We start from the raw sequence: 15,718 nt of genomic DNA on the forward strand, positions 1-15,718 counted from the left end.
GGAAAAGAAAAGGTCAAAGTATTCTTGTTTGCTGATGACATTATCTTATATTTGCAAAAACCCAAAGACTCCACGAGAAAACTATTAGAACTGATAAATTCAGTAAACTTACGGGATACACAATCACCATGCAAAAATCAGTAGCATTTCTATATGCCAACAGTGAGCAATGTGAAAAAGAAATTTTAAAAGTTATTCCATTTACAATAGCCACACATAAAATCAATACCAAGGAATTAACTTAACCAAATAAGTGAAAGATCTCTATAATAAAAACTGTAAAACACTGATGAAGGAAATTGAAGAAGATAACAAAAAAATGAAAAGATATTCCATGCTCATGGATTGAAATAATGAATATTGTTCAAATGTACATACTACCCCAAATAATCTACAGATTCAATGCAATCCCTATCAAGACACCAATGACATTCTTCACAGAAATGGAGAAAATGATCCTAAAATTTATATGGAACCACAAAAGACCAGAACAGCCAAAGATATCCTAAGGAAAAGGACAAACCTGGAGGAATCACATTACCTGACTCCAAATTATATACTACAGAGCTAGAGTAACCAAAACAACATGGTACTGGCATATAAACAGACACATACACCAATGCAACAGAATAGAGAACCCAAACACAAATCCACACACCTACAGAGAACTCATTTTTGACAAAGGTGGCAAGAACATACACTGGGGAAAAGACAGTCTCTTCAATAAGTGGTGCTAAGAAAACTAGATATCTATAGGCAGAAGAATGAAACCATACCCTATCTCTCACTATGTACAAAAATCAAATCAAAATGGATTAAATACTTAAATCTAAGACCTCAAACTATGGAACTACTACAAGAAAACTTTGGGAAAACTCTCCAGGACATTGGACTGGGCAAACATTTCTTGAGTAATACCCAACAAGCACAGGAAACCAAAGCAAAAACAAACAAATGGGATCACGTATAGTTAAAAAGCTTCTGCAAAGCAAAGAAAACAATCAACACAGCGAAGAGACAACATGAAGAATGGATTTGCCAACTATCCATCTGAGAAGGGATTAATAACCAAAAGATATAATGAGCCCAAGAAACTGCATAGGAAAAAAAATCTAATAATCAGATTAAAATGGGCAAAAGATCTGAATAGACATGTCTCAAAAGAAGACATACAAATGACAAACATGCATATGAAAAGATGCTCAACATCACTGATCACCAGAGAAATGTAAATCAAAACTACAGTGAAGTATCATCTCACCTCAATTAAAATGGCCTATATCCAAAAGACAGGCAATGAAGAAATGCTAGTGAGGATGTGGAGAAAAGGGAACCCTTGTACACTGTTGGTGGGAATGTAAATTAGTACAACCACTATGGAGAGCAGTTTGCAGGTTCCTCAGAAAAGAAAAAATTGAGATGCCATATGATCCAGCAACCCCACTGTTATGTATGTACCGAAAAGAAAGGAAATCAGTAAAGCTAAGAGACATCTGCATTCCTATGCTTGTTGCAGCACTGTTTACAATAGCTAAGATTTGGAAGCAACCTAAGTGTCTATCAACAGATGAATGGATAAAGAAAACATGGTACATATACACAACGGAGTAATATTCAGCCACAAGAAAGAATGAGATCCACTCATTTGCAGCAACATGGGTGGAACTGGAGATAACTATGTTATGTGAAATGAGCCAGGCACAGAAAGACAAACATCATGTGTTCTCACTTATTTGTGGGATCTAAAAACGAAAGCAGTTGAACTCATAGCATAGACAGTAGAAAGATGGTTACCAGAGGCTGGAAAAGTAGTGGGGTGTTGGGGGAGTGAGGTGGGGATTGTTAATAAGTACATAAAAAATAGAAAGAATGGATGAGACATACTATTGATAGCAAAACAGGATGACTAAAGTAACAACTTAATTGTACATTTTAAAATGACTAAAAGAGTGTAACTGGATTGCTTGTAAAACAAACGATAAACACTGGAGGGGACTGATACTGCATTCTCCATGATGTGCTTGTTTCCCATTAAATGACTTTATCAAAACATCTCATGTACCCCCTAAATATATACACCTGCTATGTACCAACAAAAAAATTTAAAAAATATATAATGAATAAACTTAAAAAAACCCCCTCAAATGTGGCATACCTTTCAGGAGTTCATAAAATACAGTGAAAGAGAGGATTCAAGCTTGATACCAGGATTAACCTCCCTATAGTTACCCACCTTAAAGTGTGAAGAAATGTGACCCTTGTGGACAACATTATTAGAGATTCATTAAAGGGTAAAAGGCTTGTGTTGCTTTTCAAAGCCCAAATAATTCAACTAAGTTTTCAGAAGTGGATGTCAATGAGCAGCAGTCTGTTTGGAAAAGAGGATATAGAAAGAGGGAGGAGAGGCTAAGGGAAGGGGAGGGGTGCTAACATCCTTATTTTATGGGAAACTGACGAAGGTGTACGCTAGAGACTGAGAGTTAAGCATATCACTTAAAGTCACTGGAGTCACCAATAGAAGAACTAAAGATCAAAAGGTATAAAAATTGCCAGAAGGAAAGACAGGGCAGATTGAAGATAGTGTGAGTGAGTTAAATCCTCCTCTCTGGTAGAGGATGGTCACTTGATGATGTCTGAAGTTGATGAATTATTGAATTAGCAGATTAGGCATTTTCTTTAGATATAAGGAGGTAATGGTCAGAACACTGCAAACAGAAATTGTTAAAGTGGTCTACTCTGGGAAGCACAGTTGGGGAGTAGGAAGTGATGGGACCTTGAATCTTTGTTTTTTATCATAAGCTCCTTTGTACTTTCTGATCATCACTATTATATTTACCATGTGCATACATATATATTTTTAATTAAGAACTATTATTTGGAGACAGTTTTAAAAAGATGATCTGTATGGGAGGAAGTCCCAAGGTTAATCACCTTGACATTAGCAAGATTTTACCACATTGAAGGAGATTTCGTTTTACATCTATTAAACAAAGCGAAAACCTAAAATTGATCAGCAGCTCATGATACTGGAGATCAGCCAACTCACGCTTCAGTAATCCATGCATGCATCACATCACAATGGTGAATATTGGTAATATTGTTCCAGAGACATCATGGAGACATCAAAGTGTGTTCAGTAGCCTGCAGCAAAGAAGCTGAAGGAGTGTATTACCTTACAGTAAATTACCTCTCAAATGGCCCCCAAGATGTTGCTCAAAAGGATGAATAGCAGTTGACAGAAAATTCTCTCCTGTCTCAATACCCCATTTTGTTGAGATAGTGTTATTAAATCTTCTGGGTGGTTTCCTTGAGTACAGAAAATGCCATGCTTTCATGTGTTAATTAATGTGCGGACCCTGAGCCTCCAGAAAATAAATAACTGGATCATTAAAAGGTCCTATGGTTGGGACTAGTACAGAGAAGCTCAATGAGAGTGTGAGCTAAGCGAGTTCAGGCCAGAGAACCCAGAGGATCAGACTCCCTCTGTACTGACACTTTGCTCCTGGTTAGAGAGAAAATTCCAGGCTGCCTGGAGCACCAGAAAGACAAGACACTGGACCTTCAAAAACCAGCTGAACAAGCACAACCCCAGGACAGAGGGCAATAAGATTAATAAGGAGTCTCTTGTATTGGGCATTGAATGCATGCCAGGCACTGTGAAAAACATTTACCATACATTATCACTTGTTATCCTTATAAATATCCCTTTGTACAGATGGGGACTCCAAAGCTAAGATGGAAAAAAGGGGGGTAAAGTACCTTGACCAAAGTAAGCACAACTCTTAAGTCATGGCCTGGGGTGTATCTGTAGGTATATTGTTATAAAATCAGTTTTGTGAACTGCCTAAAATTATAACAAAGAAGGGCATGAGTTAAGGCTTCAAGCGTGTGTTAGAAGGTGAATTGGTTCTCAGAGAGAAAAATATCTGGAATGCTATGCAAAAACCATCAGTCAATACAGCCCTTTGGCTCGGTTTCTAAGCAGAGCTGGGGCAAAACTGCTTGTCACAAATGAAATTTGTAAGATGCTTAATTAGGGTTTCTGAAATTCAAACTCTGAGCACACACTGAGGCTCAAGAATGGTTAAGTGTTTTGCTCTGAAATTCAGCCTACTAGTCAATCTGACTCCAAGGCCCATCTCCTTTTGTTTGCACCAAAATGACAACAAACCTGCTTTTCTCGCCTGGTAATAGCACATTCTGGAAATCCCCTTAAATCAGCTTATATAGAGATAACTCATACTTGTTAATGGTTGCATAATAATCCTCAGAATGGCTGCACTGCCAATGTATCAGTCACTCCTCACCTGATGCATACTTGCTTTGTGCCCTGATTTGCCCAATATGAGTGTTTCTGTGATAAACATACTTGTACATATTTCATCACCTCCCGGGGTTCTTATTTCTCCAGGACTGACTACCATTCCATCCCTGCCCCATATACAAATCTGTCTCCGTCAACTCTTCACTTTATAAGGACCCAAAGGACCATTTGCTAAATTTGTTGTATTGACTCAGGACAACTTAGTAATCATTGTTATCGTTTATTAAACAACAGGGCCACATTCAAACGCTTTCCAATTCTCTCTAAATAACAGCCTAACGCTGACGTTTTTGTTGGCCTGTATCTCATAATTATTTTTATTTAGAGGAATTTGGTAGTGGCGGGGTTGGGGTGGGAGGTGGTGTGTGGACGGTGTGAATTGACAGAAACAATTTCCCTACACCAAAATACAGGTATGTTTTCATTCTCTATGCCCCTAAACACCCTCCCTGCAGCTATGCAACGAGCAATTCACGGGAAGAGGCTTCTTTACATAGACCCCTGTTTTTGGTGTTTTGATTTACTTTTGTGTATAGAGTTGATCTGTCCCTCTTCCCATTGGTGTCCTCCCCCCCCACCCAACCCTAGTCCTCTTCCTTCTTCCTTCTTTTCTTCTCTTCTCCTCTGCTCTCTGAACTGCATCCCCACTCCTTCTGATTTCTCCCTCCTGAAAGGAAAAAGGAGATGGGCCACATGAAATAGCAGAGCAGTGCCTACCCCACTCTTCGAAGTTCTCTGCATCCGAACCTCTCTCTCTTTTGAAAGCTCCACTGAGAAATGATCAGAGAGTGAAGTCCAAAGCCAAGCACACAAAGTCGTTGTTGTCCCATTTTAAACCAACTCCCATGCACGTACAGCTAGGAGCATTGAGAGCAGAGTCTGAGTGAGGATATTGAGGCTGGTGATGAAAAGCCTTGGCGAGAAGTTTGGACATGTTCGGACATGCAAGGCCTTAGAGAGGAGTCCTGTTCACTGTCCAGTCCTTCTGAATCTATTTTGCTGGCTTGTGCTCCCCACCCAACTTCTAAGTGTCAGAGTATCTCAGGGAGTAGCCCTGCACCTTCTTCTCCTGGCTATACTCTCTCTAGGTGATCCTACTCAGTTTTGTGGCTTTAGACCCTAACTGTGTCCTGTTGTCTCAACAATTCTGTTTCTCCAGCCTCTATGGATGACAAGCAGACCTCAGTAACTAAACCTGTGCAAATAGGAGCTCTTGACACACACCCCCATCTGTCTTTCTCCCTTCTCCAAATCTACCATGCCCACCCACTCTCTGTCTTTCCTATGACCGTACATAGACCTCTGAGATTGCCTCGAATCCACTCACAAGCGCTGTCTCTTCCACTTCCAAAATATCATGTGAATCCACACACTAGTCTCCACATTGATGCTTCCAGTCTGGGCCAAGCCCCTGCTGTCTCTGGACTGGACTACTGCAAGAGCCTCCTAACTGGTCTCCCTGCTTTCCTTTGTGCCCTGCCCACTTGTGATATTGCCCACACAGAGCAGCTAGAGAGAAACCACTGAATGGGCATTAGATTATGCTACTACCTGCTTCAATCCTTTCTCTGGCTCTCCTGAGCTCTCTGAAGAAGAACCAGACTCTTCATCATGGCACCACCCACCACTGCGCCTTCCTCCCTTTCCTTCCTCTATCCCCTCTCACACTGGGCTCCATGCAACATTGGCATCCTTTCTGCCCCCACCCCCACCCCCAGCACCCTCTCTTTTCTGCCACAGGGCCAGGGGAATTGCCCTTCCCTCTGCTGGGCAGGTTTCCCCCCTGGTTCCTTGAAAGACTGGTGGCTTATCATTGTCCTCAGAAAGGCCTTCCCTGAGCTTCATGTCTCCCGTTTTGCCACTTTTCTGGGGTTCTAGGCAATATGTACCAAATCATCTTGTTTATGTCCCCGAGAGCATTCATAGCAACCTTTAACTGTTTTCATATTCCCTGATCTGTCTATTGTCTGTCTCCCCACTAGAAAATAAGCTCCCTGAGTTCAGGGACGGTCTGGCCGGCAGAATACTTGGTACATAGAAGACCCTCCAGGAATATTCATTGAATCACTGAATAAATAAAATCAACAGCACTTCCTCCCACGGGAAAGGAAACTTCCCCTCCCTCCATTGAGGCTCCACAGGGCTCTTTATTTTTGCCCCTGTCACAGTGTGTAGTGGTCAGAACACATTCCATTTGCAGGTGGCAGAAACTGACCACAACGTAACTTTAAAAATAAAGAATAAAAAGGAGATGGAAACTCGACTCCATGGAAGCCCCTGAGAAAGGACTTGGGGAGCAGTCCCTGCTGTGTCCTTGTCACTTTGGTAGCCCTGCTCCTGTTGCTAGAGGTTCAGGATCCTAGGAATTGTTTTCAGGTTTGGGGATTTGCTAGCCATAGCATGACTTCCCTGAACTTCCTTCTCCTGCTGTTTCACTGATTTCTGTTGGCCCTGTGTACTGGAAGGCAACGCCAGAGACAGAGATCTTGCTGAGTCCTGGTCCTCGACTTGGTCTTCCTTGTCATTTCTGTTTCCTAACAATGGGCCGAGGAGCTCTTCTCATCCTCGCCACATCCCCTACCCCTCTGCGAGCATGGCTTCCCCCTTGGCCTCTGCCTTCTCAGGTCCCTCTTGGACACCAACCTGGAAATGGTGAGGCACAGCTTCATCTTCTCCCTGCCTGCAAGCAACCTAGACCCCCAGGAGATGGCTCTTAACAGCGGTGACAGTGATCACCTTGGTCAGGCATGCGCTGTACAGCAGGCTTTTCCTAGGTCTCTGTCCCTTGCCTTTGCCGGCACTAGCCCTGCCTAGAGGCAGAGAGCTGGACTTTGCAAGCTGGAGAGGTACATGTCTGTGTATCTGCTTCTCAGCCACCTTGGGATGCTTTCCAGCCAGCGACGAAGAGTTCTCACTGCCTCGCACCCCACAGTGACTCAGTCACTTCCTCAGGTTCACGGTTGTTCTATCATGTATGACTGCCAAGATCCAGCCATCACTGCAACCACAGAAAACAGCTTTACTTACCCAAAGAAGGCAGAGGAGGAGAGGATGAGAGAATACGTGCTGGGCAGGTGAAATTCTATGGCCACCGTCGTCCAATCACATAGCACTTACAGTCCTCTGCTGACACTTCTGTTCTCTGTGGGGGCAGACTGAGCTTTAGCAGAGTGAAGGCATCCTGAGGGAAGGCACTATGGTTTTCTCTTTTTAAACATCTGGCCCCACTGGCTCACGGTAAACGTGAGACCCCTATTTATGGAATGAAAAGGAATAGAGGGAAGGATTGTTCAGACTCTTTTTGAATTGGTCACATCTGACTTTCTTCCTTGTGTTCTGTCAGCCCTGTCTTGGTTTTGTACATGCGTGTACATGTAAATGTGCACTTATACATGCACATTGATGTTTAATTTGTACTCATTCTAAAGTTCTCATCATACTGCTTCCCTCCTTGAACATGCTGAGTGGTCCCCGTGACCTTGGGTATACAGTCGAAGCACCTTAGCTTGATTCTCAGGGCCCCACACCTTCCAGCCCTGTCTGCTACCATGTGCTCTTGGAGACCATGAGCTCTGTCCCTGCCAGATTATTAGGCATGGCCAGAAGCGACCAAGCATGTGCTCTCATGACAAAGGGCCTTGGGCACAGACTGATCCCTCTGCCTGGAGTGCCTTCCTTCCTGCCTTGACATGGTGGACTGCTCCTCATGTTTCAGAGCCCACCTCGGTGGTTCTGTCTTTGGTGCAGCCTCACCTAATTGCTACTAAGAAGAGTTAGTGGCTGGTCCTCCTCTCTGGAGGAAGTGGGACTGTAGCTTCTGTTACACTCAACTCTCATGGTTGCTCCCTTGTCTATACCCCCAGCATTTGGCTCTGTGTGGCCTCTCTGCTCTCACTACACACACACTGCTCACCTCTTCTCACCCTGCTCCACACCTCCAACACATCAACAGTCCCTGCTCACTTACCACATTGCGGGCCCCTTAGCCCCCAGCACCAAGTACCTGATAAGCTTTCCATAAATATTAGATGGTGAACTGGGACCAGGCACTTCATTCTAGAGAGAGAGCTCAGGTTTTGTTTTGGTTTATCCTTTGAACCTGAATATGTACTTCTTGGTCCAGGTTGGGAACCTCAGCGCCTTGAGAGCAGAGTCAAGAATAAACAAGCGCCTGGCTCTGGACCAGGCCCTGTTCCCAGTCCTGGGTTTGGCTTTCCTCACCTTATCATTGAGGACAGTACTAGAGACAGGGTGCTCTTGATTCCCCCACTTCCAGACTGCATGTACTGAGGCCTTGAGTGTATTCTCAAGGCCACCCCACCCTCTCCTGCAAGGTACTTGATTTAACCATTTAAACGTTCCATTATGTGGAGAGGGGATAAAAATAACGCTCCCTTCTGAATCGAACCCTTATCCCTTCGGTCTACAGCGGAGCCCTTTCCCTGGCGTCCTTTTCATAAATATCCAGGCGACCCGAGAGACTGAGCACTCCCACTCCCGCTCCCGCTCCCGCCCCTGCTCCCGCTCCTGCTCCCACCCCCGTCATCTCCCACCGCCCGCAGCCCGGCAGCCCCGCAGCCCCGCAGCCCCGCAGCCCCGCAGCCCCGCAGCCCCGCAGCCCCGCAGCCCCGCAGCCCCGCAGCCCCGCAGCAGCCACAGGGGGAACCAAAGAGACAGAAGCCTTCCCAGCTGCCCGGACGACAGACGCCAACACCCCCCGCCCCCCACCACACGCCGCCTGCCCGCCCGCACCCCGCACCCTGCGCGCTAGCCCACGACCGAGCGGCGGCGGCAACAGCAGCTGGCTGCAGGCTGCGGCGACTCGCACCGGCGCGCTCCTGGCAGCACTTGCCATCCCAGGTGACTTGAACTCGCCAGTTCGGATCCCCTGCGCCAGCTCCCGCTCGCGCATCGGGTCTGTGTTCCCGCACCCACCCGCCCTCCTGCCCTCCCGCCCTCCCCCGCCTCTCCGTCCCCCAGCTCGCGGGAAGGGAGGTCGCGGCAGCGGCCCGGCGGCAGCGGCGACCGTGGCGACAGCAGCGACAGTGGCGGCGGCGGTGGCGGCAGCGGCTGCGGCGGCGGCGGAGGCTGCGGCGGCGACCGTGGCAGAGGCGGTGGCGGAGGCCTCCGTGGCGGAGGCGGAAGCAGAGGTAGAGGCTGAGGTGGAGGCCGAGGCCTCAATAGAGGAGGCAGCATCGGAGGCCACCCCGGGGGAGGCGGAGGCCGCCCGGGTGGCAACGGTGGTGGCGGTGGCGGAGGGCAGCGCGGCCGAAGCCGCCGCCGCAGCGGAGGCTGCGGGGCCCCCCTTGGGGGAGGCGGAGGCGGATGCGGATGCGGATGCGGATGCGAATGCGAAGGTGGCGGCCGAGGTGGCGGCCGAGGTGGCGGCTGCGGCGGCCGCCGCGGATGCAGATGCGGATGAGACCCTCGGTGACTGTGAGGGGAACCCAGATTTTCAGATGGCCTCCCTGTACGTGGGCGACCTGCACCCTGAGGTGACCGAGGCAATGCTGTACGAGAAGTTCAGTCCAGCTGGGCCCATCCTCTCCATCCGCATCTGCAGGGACAAGATCACCCGCCGCTCATTGGGCTACGCGTATGTCAACTACCAGCAACCGGTGGACGCCAAGCGGGCCCTGGAGACCCTGAACTTTGATGTCATAAAGGGCAGGCCAGTGCGCATCATGTGGTCCCAGAGGGACCCGTCGCTCCGCAAGAGCGGGGTGGGCAACGTCTTCATCAAGAACCTGGGCAAGACCATCGACAACAAGGCGCTGTACAACATCTTCTCGGCGTTCGGCAACATCCTCTCCTGCAAAGTGGCCTGTGACGAAAAGGGGCCCAAGGGCTACGGGTTCGTGCACTTCCAAAAGCAGGAATCTGCGGAGCGGGCCATCGATGTGATGAATGGCATGTTCCTGAACTACCGCAAAATTTTCGTCGGGAGATTCAAGTCGCATAAAGAACGAGAGGCCGAAAGGGGAGCCTGGGCCAGGCAGTCCACTAGTGCTGACGTCAAGGATTTCGAGGAAGACACCGACGAGGAGGCCACCTTGCGATGAAGACATCCCAGGAGCTAGCCAGCCAGCAGAGCCAAACCTTGGCTCACACCCGGTTTACAACCCCCCACCCCCAGCCCTCCCCCGCCAACCCACCAGCAGTGTATTTATTGTATTGAGAGTGCAGGTCTCTCTCTCTCTCTCTCTCCCCTTCTCTCTCCCCGCTTCCTATTTTCTCCCTCCACCTCTCCTCTCCTTCCCTTCCTCTCCCCCGCCCACCCCCACCAAGGGCGTTGTGAATAATCTTACTAATCTGTGCCATTTGTAGGTTAAAGGCTGCCTCTTCTCCCTGTGGTTTGGTTTAAAAAGCATTTTCATTCTCTCTTTGTTTACTGCACAGGTGGTACAATTTCATGGTAGAATCATCAGAAAGGAGAAGGATATCAGATGAGGGAAGAAACAAGAGAGTAATTGCTCCCCTGGTCCTACTCCCCAGAGAGAACCACTTTTACCTTTTTGGTGTGCTGCTTTTCCAGGCTCTCTTCTCTCCCTCTCTCTCCTTTGCTCACCCCCACCCCGCCTTCCCTTTTAACACACCGTTATAGAATGGTTCATGTATGTGGTGTTTCTTAACCTGCTTTTTCAGCAACTAAAACCAAACAAAAATCAACCCATTGAACTTCTTTCCATGTTATCAACAGGCTTATGAAATGTCATCTTCAGTGCCTGCAGAGTGCTCCAGTGTATCCGTGGACCTTAACATTTCTGTAATCATTCCCGCATTGTTGGACATTCAGGTGGTGCCTAGTTCTTTCCCTGTGTTTAAGACCAACATTGCGTGCTCTGTGCTTTGATGAGTGAATCCTTCCTTGTCAAGCCAAATCTTTGCTAGCATCCCGGTGGTCTCCTTAACTGCGGACTTGCAAGATCCACATATAGACATTTTAAAGACTTTTCCTGTGTGTTGCCAAAAGGCCCCCTTCATAAGCATTGTACCGATTTGCACTCGTGCCGGCCAGCGCAGCTAGTAAAGAGTATGCCCGTTTCCCCTGCATAGCCTCCTGGTCACTGTAATTGATCGTGTGTGTGCGTGCGTGCGTGTGTGCATGCGTGTGTGTGTCTTTGTGTGTGTGTCTTGGCCAGCTTGGCGGGCTGCAAAGGGTGTTTCCCTGTCCTCAGTGGTTTTGCTGCAATCAAACACTGTTTATTACCCCCTTCCCCTGTGCCCACTTCCTGTCCTTTTCCCTGTTGTCAGAAAAATAATTCAGCGTCATTGCAGGAAAAAAATAATCACGAAGCAGACAAGTTAACAGAAGAAAATTAATGTCACCAGTAATCATTTCTGATGATTACTTATACATTCCTGAAACATTTTCATCTGTATCTGCCCTGTATTTTTCATGTGATATATATGTGAAATTATTGTATATACTGTTTCAATATCTGCTTTTTCACACAGAAATATATATTATAGACATAGATTTATAGATATTCTTGAACTTTCATGTCATTAAATATTCTTCTAAAATAGTTTTCATGGATGTTTAGTGCTCTAATATGTGATTGGGCTTCATAGAGTGATAGATATATATACATATTAGATATAGATATAGGGATATATTTGTTTTAAGTAGTTATTGGACGTCTGGGTTGTTTCATTTTGTTTTCTTATGCAAGCCAAAGCTGCCAACAAGATCACAGTGCACAAACATTACATTCATGTTTATTTCCTGAACAAAAGTTAATAGTATAATTGAAGGATGAAAAGATATGGGAGGTTTAAAATCTTCTTTTTCCCTTCTTTAGTAAGTGACCATTGATAAAGATAGTACCAATTTACCCTCATAAAATATGCAGATATTGTGAGTGTACCTGGATACCTGTACAGTTTTTGAGACTTGGTATTAAATTATTTATAATTTGAGATTTTTTGTTTCTATTTGTTGTAAACATTCATCTTTATGCAGACAATAATTATCATACTAAAAGCATTTTTTAAAATATTGGTAAGGAAAAACTGAAAATCATTCTTAATTCTACCACTTGACAAAAATAGAAAAAACTTTTGAAGCATTTGAGACATATATGTAAATAACTAATGCCTCCAAAAATGTAATATAGGATGTATGTTTCATTGTGGTATATTTTCAGTGTGAGAAGTCTTACTTACCATCTTTCCAAATTACTTAGTGTTTCATTTTACAGATGAATTATAATTTCTAAAATCCTGCCCCTCAATATATTGTTAAATGGTTATGGCTTTTCCATAACACATTTGGGGCTGAATGTTTGCTGACATCAAGAAATATTTAATTGCCTTATACCTTGCTCTCTTGCCAAATGCTTCTTCCATAAAGTTTACTCCCTCCAACAGTGTAAGAGAATGCATATTTCCTTGATCATCTTCTTAAGTTAGTATTTTTTTAAGTTATGGGAAATTATTTAGGCTTGTAGTTTAAAAAATTATTTCATTTTACAAGTGCGTTACTTTAAAAAGACATGCATATTATATATGCACAACAGCCACTTTAAAGAGATTATGCCTTTGCAGGCTTTGCCTTTTGTAAATTTTAAAACCATTATAGAATCATACTGAATATATTCTATACTAAATGTATATTCTATGTGCTCATAGCGAAAGTATTCTGTCAAAATTTCTATTTAAGTATGTTGTAAATACATCTAAAACATCCTTTGCTACTCAATATCCTCCTACAACTCACTGCCATTGTATAAGTGGATCAGAATTATTTTTAAAGTGTTTCTTCACGTTGGACTTTAAAGTAGTTTCCAAATTTTTCCCAGAAACATGAATCTGTGGTAAATAATTCTGCAGCAGCATTCTTGTATTATTTACTTAAGATAAATACTTAAAAGGGGTGTTGAAAAGTAGAAACCTTTTAATATTCTTTAAATGTATTTTCAAGTAGCCTGAATATACCAATTTATACTTCCACTAGTACTTTAGAGAATGCCCATTTCCTGCACAAGTATCTCTTTGGATATTTTAAACTTTTTTTTTTGCCAATATAATGCTATGAGGACCATATCTCACTTTTTGTTTTTCTTTATAAATTTTTTAAAAAAGTTTTGTTATTCAAATAATATAACTTCATTTTAACAAGAAATCAAATAACATTCATAGGAAAATAAAAATCAATAATCATTCTCCTATGCATATATAATAATTGCCAACCTTTTGGTCTATGCCATGGATCTATTTCAATAGATTTCACCTTCATCTCTCCTCCAATTTTGATAGATTTGGGTGTTTGTTGTTTCTGGTGTTTCCTCATTGAAACCAAAGCTGCTAAGAATATTCTGATGCTGAAATCATTGCTTTAATTCAGTATTGTTTCCTGAACAAACATTCTTACAAACAAACATGGACTATCCCATTGCTACTATATAGTATATATGATTTTAATTTTTACACTTTTTCAATTAAATAGATAATAAAATTTTATTACAAAATATTAGCAATTTCTGGCTATAAGAAAAAGCATTTAAAACTACCTATAACCCTATCTTTAGTGCTGCTTTTAATGTTTTGGTCAGTACCTTTCTAGGATTATATTATATACATATGCATACCTACATATATATATATATATATATATATATATATATATATATATATATATATATATGGAGAGACAGCATTGTACAATACATACATATTGTTACATATTATGATTTACATATTTATATATTTGTAAAATACCAAATCATGCTTTACATCTTTACGTTTTTCTGGAATATTTATTTAATAATAAACCTCATATATTTTCATGTTTGTTTTTTTACATCATTTAAAATGGTCTTGGAATATTTATTGTGAATATGAATTCACTCATTTTTTCATTCCTACATTGTCAGAAATTTTATGTGTCCTCAATTCTCCTTTAATTTCAGATCACTATGTTGACTATCTTTTACCTAAATTTGCAGTTATATCCATAATCGTTTCCATAACAGATGCTTCTAGGATTAAAAACAAAATTATAGATCATTTATAAGAACTTATACTTCGTGGTCAAATTCCCACATAAAGTTGTGTCAACTTACACGGTTACTCTGTTATTTCCATTCTAAAAGGATACCCAGTTCTCTGCAAAAGGCTCTAAACTGGGTATTATAATTATTTCAATTTTGCTGTGTTTTCAGTAGATAAATACATAATTCATATTTTAAAATTTGATTTGTAATAACATTTTTTCTTTCATTTCTGTTTTCTGGGCAAACAAATCCTAGAATCATAATGTATTGTTGAACAGAATGAAGAAGCAGCATAATCCTACCACTGGGTAAAACCACATTTAAAATTTTGTTGTATTACTTTTCACATTTTTATAAATGTAAACATGCATGCATATTAAAGGGAAAGATCTCTGTATTAGGGTACTTCAGAAAAACAGAACCAATGTATATCTCAGAGAAAGAGAGAGATTTATTTTGGGAATTGGCACATATGATTATGGAGGTTGAGAAGTCTACTGTCTGCAAGTTGTAGAACCAGGAAACTTGGAAAGAATAGGCAATATAGCAGGAGCAGATTGGGACAATGGGCATTTGGGCCATTTCTTCATGTAACTTACTTATGCCTTTGAAACATACTCGAGCCTGATCACATATATACCACTTCCATTTTATGATAGAGTGTTGCTGTGCATGCCCAACTTTATGGCTTGGCGGGTCAGATATAACCCAGTTGATGATGGGCAGCTCAGGTAACATGGTAACTTGGCGGCCCATGGTCAAGTGTTCAGTTTCTACTAAGGCCCAGCAGCAGGCCAGGAATTGTCTCTCAAAAGGGGAGTAGTTATCTGTGGATGATAACATGGCCTTGCTCAAAATCCTAAAGGCCTGTGCTGCAGTTTACCTATAGCGGCTTGACAAAGGCTCCAAACAGCATCCTTATCTGCTACTGACATTTTAAGCACCATTGGATCTGCTAGATTATATAGTCCAAGTGGCAGAGCAGCCAGAACCTGTTGCATAGGCTTCTCTTGTTCTGGGCCTCACTCAAAACTAGCAACTTTTCAGGTTAATTGGTAAATGGGCCAGATTAACACACCCAAATGAGGAATGTGTTGCCTCCAAAATCCAAATACGCCTATGTCCTGAGTGGTAATGCCTAGGTTTTCTTCTAGGGTTTTTATGGTTTTAGGTCTAACGTTTAAATCTTTAATCCATCTTGAATTGATTTTTGTATAAGGTGTAAGGAAGGGATCCAGTTTCAGCTTTCTACGTATGGCTAGTCAGTTTTCCTAGCACCATTTATTAAATAGGGAATCCTTTCCCCATTGCTTGTTTTTCTCAGGTTTGTCAAAGATCAGATAGTTGTAGGTATGCGGCGTTATTTCTGAGGGCTCTATTCTGTTCCATTGATCTA

The 15,718-nt window shown here is 43.2% G+C and overlaps 1 protein-coding gene and 1 long non-coding RNA gene across 2 annotated transcripts; one reads left to right on the forward strand and one right to left on the reverse strand.

Moving 5' to 3' along the window:
- Positions 1-4,528: 4,528 nt before the first annotated feature.
- PABPC1L2B-AS1 (PABPC1L2B antisense RNA 1) lies at positions 4,529-8,997 on the reverse strand. The gene is made up of 4 exons (NR_110398.1): positions 8,546-8,997; positions 8,328-8,464; positions 7,352-7,466; positions 4,529-4,991 (listed from the first exon to the last, which is right to left on the reverse strand). It is a non-coding gene; the product is annotated as a PABPC1L2B antisense RNA 1 (long non-coding RNA).
- An 82-nt stretch (positions 8,998-9,079) lies between these two features.
- Positions 9,080-12,247, forward strand: PABPC1L2B (poly(A) binding protein cytoplasmic 1 like 2B). Its single transcript, NM_001042506.2, has one exon. It carries the CDS (start codon positions 9,784-9,786, stop codon positions 10,384-10,386), a length of 603 nt encoding a protein of 200 aa, NP_001035971.1. The 5' UTR covers positions 9,080-9,783; the 3' UTR covers positions 10,387-12,247.
- Positions 12,248-15,718: the final 3,471 nt, after the last annotated feature.

The sequence above is a fragment of the Homo sapiens genome, chromosome X (assembly GCF_000001405.40).
Source record: "Homo sapiens chromosome X, GRCh38.p14 Primary Assembly".
Classification (NCBI taxonomy): domain Eukaryota; kingdom Metazoa; phylum Chordata; class Mammalia; order Primates; family Hominidae; genus Homo; species Homo sapiens.

Coding starts and splice junctions, on each gene's coding strand:
- PABPC1L2B (NM_001042506.2), top strand. CDS start 9,784: ATGGCCTCCCTGTACGTGGGCGACCTGCACCCTGAGGTGACCGAGGCA.